This window comes from Homo sapiens, chromosome 7, assembly GCF_000001405.40.
Source record: "Homo sapiens chromosome 7, GRCh38.p14 Primary Assembly".
Taxonomy (NCBI): Eukaryota; Metazoa; Chordata; class Mammalia; order Primates; family Hominidae; genus Homo; species Homo sapiens.
This window is the reverse complement of record NC_000007.14, coordinates 92,617,955-92,632,602: the sequence shown is the minus strand read 5'-3', so window position 1 is coordinate 92,632,602 and position 14,648 is coordinate 92,617,955. Positions and strand designations below refer to the sequence as shown.

General features: G+C 37.6%; 1 protein-coding gene across 3 annotated transcripts in view, besides 3 other annotated features; it reads left to right on the top strand.

Moving 5' to 3' along the window:
* The window catches only part of CDK6 (cyclin dependent kinase 6), a 231,653-nt gene that overhangs the window by 203,971 nt on the left and 13,034 nt on the right, over positions 1-14,648 (top strand). For all 3 annotated transcript variants that reach the window (NM_001145306.2, NM_001259.8, XM_047419716.1), the window contains exons 6-7: positions 9,517-9,567; positions 14,396-14,531. In NM_001145306.2, coding sequence (NP_001138778.1) covers positions 9,517-9,567; positions 14,396-14,531 — 187 coding nt within the window. The remainder of the gene's footprint in view (positions 1-9,516; positions 9,568-14,395; positions 14,532-14,648) is intronic.
* Positions 293-342: an enhancer, noted in NCBI's record as "active region_26266". NCBI's record gives its function as "activates an Ori minimal core promoter by ATAC-STARR-seq in GM12878 lymphoblastoid cells {active_cell/tissue: GM12878}" and the evidence as "EXISTENCE:reporter gene assay evidence [ECO:0000049][PMID:35858748]".
* Positions 453-542: an enhancer, noted in NCBI's record as "active region_26265". NCBI's record gives its function as "activates an Ori minimal core promoter by ATAC-STARR-seq in GM12878 lymphoblastoid cells {active_cell/tissue: GM12878}" and the evidence as "EXISTENCE:reporter gene assay evidence [ECO:0000049][PMID:35858748]".
* Positions 6,594-6,888: a silencer, noted in NCBI's record as "tiled region #6214; HepG2 Repressive DNase unmatched - State 15:Elon". NCBI's record gives its function as "represses a minimal TATA promoter and a strong SV40 promoter by Sharpr-MPRA in HepG2 cells {active_cell/tissue: HepG2}" and the evidence as "EXISTENCE:reporter gene assay evidence [ECO:0000049][PMID:27701403]".

Here is a 14,648-nt window from a genome sequence, read left to right as displayed (position 1 = left end):
TTTTATTCTGATAAAATAAATGCTAGCTTTTGTTGATTAATCACCACACTAAACTCACAATACTAGACACTGGTAGACAACATCACTGACATTCAAGGGCCAGAGCCCTTATTTATATGTTGAGCACATTATAATTTTTTAAGGAAAAAATGAGAAAATCAGTCTTTCAGTGTTTGGACTATTTTTAACCAATGATTGAATCCAATTTGAGAATATTTTTAGATCATTTGTAATGCTTTATGACTGATACTTTTGGTTCCATTTTGAGCAAAGCTTCTTTTTTTCTTTTTAAAGAAGCCACTTCAGCCAACAGACACTTCCATTTCAGAAAATGTCTAGTGATTATTTTCCCCCAAAGGCAACATGAAAACCTTCAGCCTCAGAAAGATGTCATTTTGCTGACATCCGGCTGATGTCAATATTAGAGTTTTTGCAAGAGAAAGGTGTGTGAGCATAGAGGTGATGATAATTATATACTCAAAGACACACCCACAACAGAGCCCATAAGACTCCCTTTGGCAAAAAATGTTGTATTGAAGACAAAACCAGTGGATTCAGAGGTTAAAAGTAAGAAGTAGTTTTGAGAGCCACATTTTAGTTACCGTAATGTATGTAGTATTTGCTGTTGAAATGTCTCTATTAGACAGACTTACTTTTGTATTTTCTAATTTTTATTCCTTGTATCAATGTTGCTTTGAAGTCAGCCTATCATGAGAGAAAACTTGACTCACTTAGCTAGTTCATTTTCAGAGGTGTGTGTTACTGATTAATGTAGCACTCTCTCTTGCTCCACCTACACAGCACTTCAGAATCATTCTCAACCCAGCTTACAGCCTATCGCTACCAACCAGACTGGATGAAATCTCCTTGTCATCCTATATGTGTAGGTAGCTCCACCCCAGTGACCCCCTAGTTGTGGTTGCCTCCTTAGATCCAGCACTTCCTGCAGACTATTAATTTAACCATGTAGACCTAACCATAGGCAATGCTCTTTCCCTGCAAAAGAGGCAAGGTGCGTATAGTTTTACGAAGTCATTTACTGAAAGAGAGAAATAACATCTTGAATTGTGGTATGAGGAGGGGACTCCCCCCAGTCTAGTCCCTTATTACACAGTAGCAGTGAGTTATTAGGAAAAAAGAGAATAAAACCTGTCTGTCTGGACCACTTTCATTCTGATTGTTTTGAGGTATGCTCATTTGATTTTTTTAAACAGCCTGCCCCACTGAAATAACAAAGAACTTAATTTTTTTAAAAAATTCTGTCTTCTACAGCCTCTTGCTCTGAGTCTCCTGGATAGGGTGACCAACCATCCCAGTTTGCCTGGGACAGAGAGGTTTCCCAGGACACAGCATTTTCAGTACTGACACTGGGACAATCTTGGGCAAACTGGGCTCGTTGGTTACCCTATTCCTGGGCCCTCTCCTACCCAAATGACCAGGTATTGAAGAACAACAGTGCTAAGGTTCCTACTCATGAACGAATTCCCTGGTAAAGCTTTTCCTTCTCTCCCAGGAAGGCACAGTATAAAGCAAGACTGGGAGTTGTGAGACAGAATAAGTTTATTATGTGGTATGGTGAGGTTCTAATTTGGTCGAGTGATATCTCTAGTTCAGAGTTCTGCTGCAGAGTGAAGGCAATTGATAAGCCCTGAGCCCAGTTAATAATCAGAGCCTCACTAATTAATCAGTGGCACTCATTTTGCCAGGTGTCCCTGATCGTCTCTAATCATCTATTCTGTCTCCACACCACACCATCACCCTTGCTCCAAATGACCTTCCAGCATGTTGTCATTAAAGTTTTTCAATGCTAAGCCCAATTTAAACTATAGTGAGTATTAAAGCTAGAATTTCCACAAGGGAGCAGAAGGGTTATCCAAGCTCTGTGGTTATATGAAGAGACAGAAGACAGTATTCCCCGGAGTGTTGAGCCTGCGATATCTGACTATTAAAGAAGCCCATAGTGACAGGAGTGATTCCATGGGGGTACCATATCCTTGACTTGCCTCCAATTTTTTAATAATACTAATATAAAGTCTTCACCCTTGTGAATTATAGCTTCCGAAGTTTGACTCAGATTTATTTTCCTGGTTCTAAAACTTTCTTTCATTTGCAAAGTTTTTCAGTACTTGCTAGTCGCCTAACTTCATGGTTAGAGTGAGAATTAAAATGCAATAATGCATTAGGAACCCAGCCCTTGGAAAGTGCTAAATACATCATCATTTCTTTCCCAGCCTTAAGAATCCCCCTGAACAGTGTGATTGGAGAGCAAGAGATAAGGGAGGCTTTGGAAGGGAAATAAATAAATAAATAAATAAATAAATAATGTAATTTGGCAAGAAAAAATATCAAAAAGTATATAAAATGAAGAGTTGGATCCTAGTCACAGAAAGACAAATCACATTTATTGCTGCTATAGTAGACAAGAATGTGCCAGCCCAGCTTTTTAATTTTAAAATTATGGAAGATATATTACATTCATTAATATGAAGAAGGACGTGTTACTGACTGAATGTTTGTGTCCCTCCCAAAATTCTTACATTGAAGCCCTAACCCCCAATGTGATGCTATTTGGAGATGGGGCTTTTGGGAGATTATTAGGATTAAATGAGGTCATGAGGATGGGGCTCCCATGATTGGATTAGTGCCATTATAAGAAGAGACACCAAAGAGCATACCCTCTCTCTAGCCACGTGAGTGCATAGCAAGAAGGCAGGTACAAGCCAGGAAGAGGGATCTTACCAGAACCCTACATTGTTGAGTTACCATGCTAGCACCCTGATCTCAGGCTTTCCACCCTACAGAACCACAAGAAAATTAATTTCTGTTGTTTAAGCCACCCAGTTTGCAGTACTCCATTATTGCAGCCTGAGTAGACTAAGGCAGGGAGAGATGACACTGGGAGAATAAAAATGAAATTATTTGAATATTTCAGAGAAGTAACTATTTCTTGGAAATGGGAGATACCCATTCAATTTTTGTCATAGTGATTAGAAATGACTTTTTCATCTCAACGACCGCTTAGTCTTATTTTAGTCATATGTAAAGTTGACTCAGTAAATATATTAATTTATGAGTTTTGTAATGTTTCAGAAATCTGAAGTAGTTTGGTGAGTTCTAGTTTAATTTTAATCCTCAATTTTGAGTTGAAAAATGGTAGGGTTTGTCCCTCTGCTCTCCCTCTCTTTCTTTCTCTCCATCTCTTTCTCTAGAGGAAGTTACTCATAGTCCAGTAAATATGAGCCCTCTGTGGATAAATAAATTATTCACATCGGTAACAAGGAAAAATTAATTCAGCTATTTATTTTTAAGGAAATTACCAGACTCATAGTCCCTCCTATGGACAGGGATGCCAGCACACTCTCTAACTTGTGTTAGAGACACAAGTCTTTCCTCTAAGTGGCACCTCCCTTCCCTGGCAGAGGTTTTTTCCTATCAGTCTGGGTCTCTGTGACGGAACTTCGTCTCAGATTCTTCTTTCTGCCACGGTCTTTCCTTGTCATTACTTGGGCTTTAAATTGTTTTTTTCCGTGCTCTTTCCCACCAGCCCTTCTCCCTTTCTGGACCGGTTTTACTTCAAGTGCGTCTTTCCCCTCCCCACTCTCCTTAATCCTATACCGTTTTGCCTTTGCTACACTTTTTCTCAACACTTCTCTTTCTTTGTCTTCCAGGGAGACCATCCCTAGCCTTCATACCTGGCTGAAGCAAGCACTGGAGGGCAAAGTTCCTATCCTGCTTGCCTCTTGCTGCTTCTGTGAAGGTTTTCGCAAGGTTTTGGATATAGGAGAATAATTGTCAGCCAGCCCCAGTTTTTAAATACACATTATTTGCAGGCAGATATTGTCTGGTGCCACAGGCAGATTAAAGCATAAACAGATACAACAATATAAATTGGATTTGGAGTTGGCTCTTGGTGTGTATACATCTAATCGTATATATGTACCTCTGCAGATACACCTGCTTGCACTTGAATTACCCAGAGATGAACCAAGGAAGTGAATTTTGAGACAGGAGGAGCTGAAGTTGAAGAAAAGAAGGGACAGAAAGCCTTCTTGCAGGGGGGAGCAATAACCACTCAGCATGTATTAATTGAGTTCCAATTATAGCCAAACTGGGCAGTAAATTCAGTACTCTGAATACAGAATCAAGTGAGGGTTGGCCCTGTCCTCAGAGAACTTCCAGTTTGTGTGTAGAAATCAACAGGTAAACGAATATAATAGAGTTGCCTTAGTATTAAAGTAGGGAATGAAGAAGTGAGGTGAACAGATCATATATGTGCAGTGTATGGCAAGAGGCAATGTTGTCGGGTTTTTTTTTCTTCTGATTTTAAAACTAACACTCATAAAACGCAGTATAGAAAAGTAGAAAAATGCAGAAAGCAAATCATTCATCATCTCACCATCCAAAGTGAAGTATAAGATAATAGTTTCATACCAGTGCCTTTTTTTGCATGCATAGACATTTTTGGTTTATTATTTAACCCTAATCTGATAAATCAGGTGTTTGGAAAGATTCAGATCATAACAATAGATTATCAAAACTTGCGGAGCACATGTCTCCAGACAAGTACTTGATTGAATATATGGTAAAATGTTTGTCACTATACTTTAATACCGCATGCTTAAAGCCTTTCATATATGTAGACCTAACAGTTTTCCTAGCAGTTTTTTTTTTAATTTATTTTTGTGTGTATGTGGATGGTTTCCAAATATTTAGCAGTTTTTTTACCCTCCTCCTGAATCCGTAATGTTTGCTTGGAAATATAATTTCTTAACCACCTTTTTTAACAGCTCTATCAAAATATAATTGATATAACCACACAATTCACCAATATAAATAGTACAATTCAGTGTTTTTTTCAGTTTAGCATATTCACAGAGTTGTACCACTACCACCACAGTCGATTTTAGAACATTTTTATCTCCCCAAAAAGAAACGCCATACCCATTAGCAGTCTGTCTTACTCAGCTTGGGCTGCTAACAAAATACCATGAACTGGATTGGCTTATAAACAGCAAAAAGTTCTTCCTCACAGTTCTGGAGGCTGGGAAGTCCAAGGTCAGAGCCAGTATCTGGAGAGGGTTCATTTCCTCATTCATTGATGATCGTCATCTTGCTGTGTCTTCATATGGTGAAAGGGACAAGGGAGCCTTCCAGGGTCTCTCTTATAAGGGCACTAATGCCTTTTATGACATAATTACCTCCCAAAGGCCCCAGTTCCTAATGCCATCACCTTAGGAATTAGGATTTCAACACAGGAAATTTTCAGGGGCACAGACCTTCAGTCTGTATACAGTCAGTTCCCTCAAATCCCCTAGTCCCAGGCAACCACCAGTCTACTTTCTGTTCGTATAAATTTACATTGTCTATATAAATGGAATCACATTATGTGTGGTTGTTTGTGACTGGCTTCTTTTACTGAGCATAATGGTTTCAAGGGTCCTCCAGGTAGTCTCAGTATATCATTCTTTTTATGACTCAGTGATATTCCATTGTAAGTCCATACCACATTCTGTTTATCCATTTATCAGTTGATGGACGTTAGGATTGTTTCCACTTTTTGGCTATTATGAATAATGCTGCTATAAATATTCATGTACAAGTTTTTATGTGGACCTGTATGTTAATGCTTTTGGGTATATACATAGGTATGCCAAACTACCTTTTTTGCATATTATTCATTCTCCAATTTCAGTGAAATGTTTTATATAATTTTATTATACAAGGAAAATATTTAAAACTAAATCAGTTACCTTCTAATCTCCTCTCCCCACCACCTCCATCTATCTCATTCTGCCAGACTTTACTAATAATATAATACAAACTTAAAATCATGCTTCTCCTCTCAAGTCATGTTCACATTTCCATCAAGTTCTGATCATCTTCTTCTAAATGTCTTTGCATCTCTAGCCATTTCCTTGTCCCACCTAGTTGAGGCCCTTGTCATCTTACTTGTACACTGACTTCCCAGTTGACCTCCTTGGCTTGGTTTCCATCCCTTCTTATTGACTCAGTAAACCCCTGCCAAATTAGTCTTTCTAAAACACTTTTTCTATATTGCTGTTCATTGAAGTCAGACAAATCAGCTTAGCCACTTACTCATCTGTGTTTCCTTAGATGTTACTTTACTTCCCATCTGTAAAAGTAAGTTAATCAAACCACTTCCTAACATTCTATTAAGATGAAACGATTACCGCGACTTCTGTCTCCCACTGGTAAAATGAGGTAAACTTCTATTCGGTGATTCTGCATTTGTATATCTTGTCTCCTTGTCTCCTGCTATTAATGTATAAATACATATTATATGTATATCATATGACTTACATTATATGTATATTACATACATTATAATTATATACTTTGAAATGTAATTTATATTTTTTATATGTGTATTTTTTAGTATTTCCCAGCACCAATTACAGCCGCATGTACTTACTGGGTAATCAGTCAATTAGTGTGTACTAAGTAGATCAGTTAATTGATTTTCTGCTTCATCCAGTTATTTGAATAGGTGGTAATTGTAAGGTGATAAGTTAACAATTTTAACTTAACTGATAACAACTCTAGAATAGAATGTGGTAATGAGTATAAAATAATAGATATTCTCCAGTAATATTTTTTTGAAAGATCACTTTATGAACATGGAAAATTCTTCCACTAATCAAGAAAAATAGCTGTCAAAGCATAGCTGCAGGTCAAATACAGGTTACAAAGGTGTTCTATAGGTTAACCCATGACTTCCTTGTCTTTTGAGTACAATGAAATTATTGTAACTAAATGAAACTTTCATCCCCTGTTATGCATGAATCATTTCCTTTCTATAACAGACATACCAGTATACACTTCTCATCTGTTAAAAAACATACCCAACTTCTAAATGTTGTTTGCCACTGTTACTGAGATTACAAATGATATCTATGCATTTTTGAGTTGTTTTTTTAAAAAGGCATATAATCTGAAACTTAGTCCCCTTGGTAATTTGACCTGAGAAAATTTATCTCACTGATAGACTTAAATACTTGGTGAGGTTTTTGGTTTTTTTTGTTTTGTTTTGTTTTGTTTTGTTTTTTTTTGCAAAACTGCATACAGGAAGTGATATTGCCAATTCAGAATTAATTAATCCTTATTGAAAAATGTGGCATTCATCCTTTAGAAAATTCTTTTCTTGATAAAGTTGTAAGAGCTGTAACATGTAAGCAATATTTAGTGACCCCAGAGGAAAGACTGTTAGACTTAAATGTGACTTGGACCTCACCACATGGTGGCAAATGGTTCCTTCCTTTCTACTTCACTGTGTGAAATACTTTACATGATTATCTGTATAATATTGGCCAGGAATAAGAGAGGTGTGTGTGTGTGTGTGTGTGTGTGTGTGTGTGTGTGTGTTTAGTTACCACTTAATTGTAACTCTGCTATAAGCTGGGCATTCTAGTAGATGAGATATATTCATAATCTCACTTAGTTGATCCTATGAGGTAAGTATCATTCTTTCCATTTTACAAATGAAGCAACTAAGTCAAAGAAATTAAGAGACTTTCCTAAGATCATATAGGAAGAAACAGCTAAATAGAGATTCACTCCCAGGACAGTCCATCGCCAAACAGACCCTTTCCCCAGTCAAAAAAAAATCTTGAAAAATCAGCATGTTAACTAAAAAGAAATAAAAGGAGAGGGGAATATTATGCCCTTAATTAAGCCATGTAACATCTCCAGTACTCAGTTTCCTCATCTGAAAATAGGGATAATTGTACTACTACATTTCTCCTGGAATTTTTGTGAGAATCAAATGAGATTATGTTTGGGGCACTTGGCACTAGGCCAGATACAACATTCATGCTCAATAAATTATAATTGTTAAGATTCCATTTTTTGCCTTTTTTTGGAAGTTTTAGAAAAAAACTTGGACTTCTCACCTTGTCATCTTTTAAGACCTGTCAAGATGTCTTTCAGAGCGCAACTTCGTGATTCTTTATGAATTTGGCTGCATTAGTGATATGCAGGTGGCTTATATTAGTTTTATAGGACTGCTGCAACAAAATACCAGACTGGATTGCTTAACCAACAAAAGCTTATTTTCTCACAGTTCTGGAGGCTGGAAGTCCAAGATGAAGGTGTCAGCAGGTTTGGTTTCTTCTGAGGGCTCTCTTTTAGGCTTACCTTCTCATGGTTCTCACATGTTTATTTCTCTGTGTGCATGTGCACCCCTGATGTCTCTTTGTGTCCAAATGGCTTCTTCTTACAAGGAAAACAGTCAGATTTGATTAGGGCCCACCCTATCTTATTTTAATTACTTGTTTAAAGGCTCTATCTCCAAATACAGTTAAATTCGGAGATCTTGGGAGTTGGGCTTCAACATGAATTTGGGGGAAAAAAATTCAGCCCATCACCTTGCAATAAGTAAATTCTTTTCCACTGCATTTGGAAATCATTATTTTCAGGAATAGTAACATTCATAGAAAGTATGGTTGAGAAACGTTAAGGTGTGTTCTAACCACTGAAATGCTATGACTGCAGGATTCTCCATATATGGCCATATATAGTGAGTTCATTTATTGTGCACAGAAAATATTTAAGAGGTCAAGTTTAAGGCTGTATAATTTGATATATAATATAAAAAGAGATATGATACCTGATAATAGACTACAACTATTTTAGTACATTAATGTTGAAAATTACCTGTTTATGGCATTTGTTGAGGAAGGAATCAGGGAACGTTTACTTGTGTACCATAGGTGTATGCAAAATGAAATAAAATGTTTAGTAACTGCATCTGTCAGAGTAAAGCTCTATGGCAGGGATTTATAGGGAAACCTAGAGAAGTCTCCTCCCTCAAGGGGCTACTTGATCTTCTTGGAGAAATGCCAGAAATGTCACAAAATGACCTTTTTTAATTGCCAGTTAAATGCTCAATGTAGACAAGGAAGGCTGTGTGTTTGAAGCAGACACAATTGCCTCTAAAGCCCAGAGTTAAGATTTAGAACTTGTAATGGTTAGCTGCCATAATATTGGGAGGAAGAAAAGTGGTATAATTAGAAAAATAGACCCAGAGGTGGTTCACTGCAGCATTGAGGACAAATGAAAGGAGAGAGACCCATGAGGAAGTACTCTGATAGCAGAGTAGTATGGAAAAAGTGCTCTGAGAAATATCAAAGAATCTCACCTATTTATGGTTCGAGACTAGGATGGTGGTATGTTCCACCTTATCACGAAGTTAAGCAGATCTTTGAAACCTGGAACTGAATTTGACGGTAGCACTGTTGTAAGAATGACTGCAAACAGAATGCCCGTGATTGTAAAACATGGAATTCATCTACCACCAGGTATTCATGAGAGATCCTAACCCATACATGAAATGCAGGGAAAACCTTCACTTACCAAAGGAAAAATGTCTCAATTTTTTTTACTTCTTCCCAACCCATAAAGAATATTTTGCTTCCTGTGAAACAATGATAATGGCAAATATGATTGAAATGTAATCTGAGAACATTTCTTATTTAAAATGTATCTTTATTCTTTTAGGCCTCTTTTTCGTGGAAGTTCAGATGTTGATCAACTAGGAAAAATCTTGGAGTAAGTAATAATTATAATTTTACACCAGTGTCCATAGCATTAAAACATTTACAGTGACTTTCCTCTGACATGCATATCATGTGTTTATCTCTTGTCTTTCTTACTTCAAGCAGCTGCTGCAGACAGTGTTACTATTTGTGTGGTGAGTGGAGACATGGTAGAAGTGCCGTTTTATGCAGAGCCCTAACTGCTCTGCTCTGGAAGCTTGTATGTTGCTTGTGTGGATCTTTTTGCTGCTCCTCTTTCTTCGTGTGGCTGAGCTCCAGTTCTTTTAGTTCAAATACATTTTCTGCTTGTGGTCATTTCAAAAGCACCCACCATCAGAGATGGGATGCCTGGTGACCAAGTACCCATCCTTGTCCAGTGAGCTTCCTGTCCCCACTGAGTATCCTTGGTCACCCAGGTTGGTTCTGCGTTGTTTTGTTTTGTTTTCCTGGGCGAAGGATGGTATGCTACACATCTCATTTTTCTTTGGAGCACCAAAATAGAAAATGAGAACCCTAAGTCTTTGGCAAAATAACTCTGCAACTTTGAGAAAGTCATTTAAAACACCTCGTGAAGGGCTTACACAGTGCCTGGCACATAGTAAGCACTTTAAAAAGTTATCTATTACTGTTACTATTAGAGTTCATCATTAATTATTTAACCTTTTATTTCCTTAACTTCATCTGAGAAATGAAACTCTGACTTAAATTCTCTATAAGATCCTTTCTTGTGCTCAAATTCTTTGGTTTCAGTTACATCGCTCCTTGATGATTTACATAGTTTCATTCATGTCTGCATGTTCATGCATGTATGCATTCATGTTTCTAGAATGTAACTGGGGCACTTCTTCTGACAAAGCATGCAGTGTGGCATCCTTTTTTGGTTTTTTGTGTTTGAAAGGCCCATCCAAATTGGAGTGGAGTAGGAAAAAAGTGGGAGTTCTAGACCAAAAATAGCCCTGATCTTTGGTCTGTGACATTTTATAGGAATCCCAGTGATTTTTATGAAATTCGAAGTCTGTAAGACTGAAAAAAAAAAAAAAACCACCCCTAAAGAACAGATTTTCATATCAGCACTGTCTACTCAAGCGTGACTGCTTAAAACAGTTAATAAAACTGGAACCTGATTTTGTTCTTTTAGTGACTAGAAGCAGCTAGACTTCTGTTAATGCCAGTGCTACTGCTGAGTCAGAACATAGTAGCTTTAAGGCCTGAATAACATTTGCTAGTTTTTTATGCCTGGGGGCTTCCTGGGTCCAGGGCAGGTGATGCTACTGCTCCTACTACTGACCACTCTGTACAGTGGATAAATTCAACACAAAGCCTTCATGTTACCCCTGCTTCTGAATGGCAAGTTATTTAATCACTCGATGAACTCCCATCTATTTTTCCCCATGACTGTTGAATATATTTTGTGTGCATGTGATCATAAAGAGGAAACTAGGGAAAGCAGACATACTGATGACCTTCTGTTAAAAGGAAAGAGAATCTTGACTAAAGTCAGCTTGCCAGGACTTGAAAGCCATCACCTTCTTTCCCTTATTTATACTACCTGACAGTTGTGTCTACCTCCAGCACTGATGTCTGCAATCTTGTTAACATTGTTAGTGCCCCCTTAGTACATGAGGCCAGTGAAATGGACCAGAAGGAACATTTGACCGGCATGTTTGACCTGCTTCCAAAGAAAAGCCAGTTCTGCTTTTGGCAAAGTCCTGACAATCGTAGGTTGCCAACAGCAAAGAAGCTGTAGAGTTCTATGGTTTGTGCCTTTAGATTTTACTTTGTGGTTTCTGGCATTGTGTCATCAAAATTATGTTCTGTTTCCTCTGAATGCATTACCTTGCCAGAGAAAAGGGACAATGCTGCACCCTAGCGTCACTGCTGAAGTACTTGAAAAAATATTTCTGTCTCCTCCATCACTGCCATTTATAGATTTTGTGCCCTGTTGGGCTTGCCAATATAAATGTCAACTTTTAAGGCTTATATTCAGCAGTCCAAATAGTGGAATTAAGTGCAAGCATTTTTAATGGACCTATCAGAATTTCACAACACATATTTGGGCCATAAAAGTTCATTCTGGACATGAAACCAAATTTTTTTTAAGGAAAGCCATATTCACATACTCTTTTTTATTTTTTTCTTTGGAGACAAGGTCTTGCCCTGTTGTCCAGGCTGGAGTACAGTGGTGCGATCTTGGCTCACTGAAGCCTTGGCCTTCCGAGCTCAAGTAATCCTCCTATCTAAGCCTCCCAAGTAGCTGGGACTACAGGCACAGGGCACCACAACCAGCTAATTTTTATATTTTTTATAGAGATGGAGTTTCACCATGTTGCCCAGGCTGGTCTTGAACTCCTGGGGTCAAGTGGTCCACTTGCCTCGGCCTTCCAAACTGCTGGGATTACAGCCACCCCACCTGGTCCATGTTCACATACTCTTAAAGGGAAAAACATTTCTGTGTTTAGGAAGATTTAAGCCTTCAAGTAATAGCAAGTATTAAAAGTGAAACAATAGTTTTAGCCTGTGACATCTTAGAGCATTTTTAAGAATGATGTCATAGCTAAATGGAAATAAAATATTGGAATAGAGAGAACGGAACTCACTCTGGACTCTGTGACTGAGCTTGCTATCTGTGACTTTGGCAGTTCATTTTATTCCTCATTCTCAATTTCCCCATCTATAAAATGAGACTAATAACACCTGACTTACATGTCTTAGGAAATTATTACAGGAATCAGAGGAGGTGATAGACTTAAAGTTTTATATATATAGTTATGTGTTTGTTTAAAATTTTATATAAAATTATATAAAGTTATTTGTATATGTACACACATACAAACAGAGATGTGCTGTTCCTCTGAAGGCTTTTGGCATTCAGTTGATCATATACTTGCAAGATGTAATTAGATGTAGATACATTCAAAGCCACAAATAAAAAAGATTTTAAATATTTCTAGGAGTTATTAATATAATCAATTTCTAGCTGACTGGTGAATATACACAAAAATATTGATACACATAGACCTGACAACTAAAAAGGAATGAAAGGAAATTTTTAAAGCTCTCTAACAAGCATTTTTCATTCCCTCCTCTGCCCTGTCCCATTGTATCCAGACACTTACACGTGCATTTCTTTTCATAATTAATAGTGGTATTTTTGGTTTTTTTCTTTTTACTTCTATTGTAGGCTGTACTATTGAACAAATCTATATATTGCTCATTGTCATTTCTATTTATTGCTTCTAGTAAATATGTCCATGAATCTGTCTTTGCCTCAATAATGTAGCTCTCTCAGTATGCCTGATAGAGGCCGAATTACAGTGTCTTCCCCAGACACCCAGGCAGAGAAGCCATGATGACAGGGTTATCTTCCCAGCTGAAGTCTATGGCCTGGGCTCCGTGTAGGTGAGGGAAGGGGAAATGAAGTGCTACAGATCTTGAGACCTGTACCACATCTTCCTGAAATCTGGAAGTACATTCATAAGAACACCTCTTCCTGGGCCTTAGTCCCAACAAGTAGAGGCCAAGCAGAAGACCCTAATGTGGGCCAGCACAATTTCTAACTGTAGTTAAAATTATTTGTTCCAGTATTTGAATAGCTATGTACCCCGTCCACTAAACTATGATTTTATTTTTGGTTCAGAGTTATACAGTCTGTGTGAGAAAGAAGTCCCTGCATCCTCTGATTTTCTCTGTTCAAACCTACTTACGACCTATATGTAAACTATAAATAATATCTATACAATGTATAAGTTATGTAAGTCCATTGACCCATTAATTTTTTAAAGAATCTTAAGTTATACATAGATACAAGCAGTTCATATTTTAAGTGTGGTAGTGATGTATTTCCTATGCATCTTGTATTAATAACATTTTCTAATTATAATAATAGTAGGCAGTGTATTGATTGATAATTGACTGTGTGTGATGTATATCAGGTGCTGTGCTTTGTACTTTAAATTATAAATTTATATATTACTATAAATTCAAATAAAGTATAACTGATCCTCATTACAACTGTAAGTTATTATCATTGTATACATAAAGACACTAAGGGTCATAGATGTTAAGTAATTTGTCCTTACCTGCCAGTAAGTGGCAGGTGCAGGATTTGAACCCAAATCTGCCTATTTCCGAAGCCTGTGCTTATCACTTGCTGTTCTTTCCACATTTCTGATCCCAGAATGGTTTTCAGGGGAAATATAAATAATAGTCTTTTAATTTACTGTTTGCTCACTTTGGAATACCACAGACTTCCTTTTATAAAATCATGTTTGTATAATGCAGGACTAGCACGTTTTAGCCTCATTTTTCCTTCTGATTCTAATGTATATATTTAATATGTAGGGAATTGCTCTTTAACCAAAAATGCAACCAAATTGATATGTTAATAAACCATGTTGGATGAGCATCATAAAATCATGTCAATACTGGGGTGTTCGATCAAAACACAAAAAGCATTCTTGGACATAAAGGAAGATATGTACCAGTATGGGTCTCCTCTGAATACAATAAGTCCTGCTTTGTCACTAAGTCAGAGCTTACTGCCTGGTAATATATTTTCTATTTCTACATCATCCCTTACATTTAGTGTCTGCTACCAGAGCAATCTCTTATCTCCTCCCACTGAATTTTACAATTCTTCTGTGAGATTACCCTCTCCCCCATGGCCACCATATTGCAGTAGGACAGAGATAAACAGAGACCCTGCCAGTGATAAAGTGAAGGTCTCCTGGGACTCTGCCCCCCATGTCTCCCCCTTAGATTTTGCCTTTCTCTGGAAATTGATGAGAAAACAGCTTCTGCATAGTAGCTAATGCTTATGTCCATGTGTGGTTCTTTTGTAGCGTGATTGGACTCCCAGGAGAAGAAGACTGGCCTAGAGATGTTGCCCTTCCCAGGCAGGCTTTTCATTCAAAATCTGCCCAACCAATTGAGAAGTTTGTAACAGATATCGATGAACTAGGCAAAGACCTACTTCTGGTAAGTTTTTCTGATGTCAAGCTCGTCTGCACTGTGCCAGTGAGACACCTGCTCTACCCAGACTGGGTGGTGGGCACAAATATCAGTTCAGTAGCTGCTATAGGCATCACATGCCAC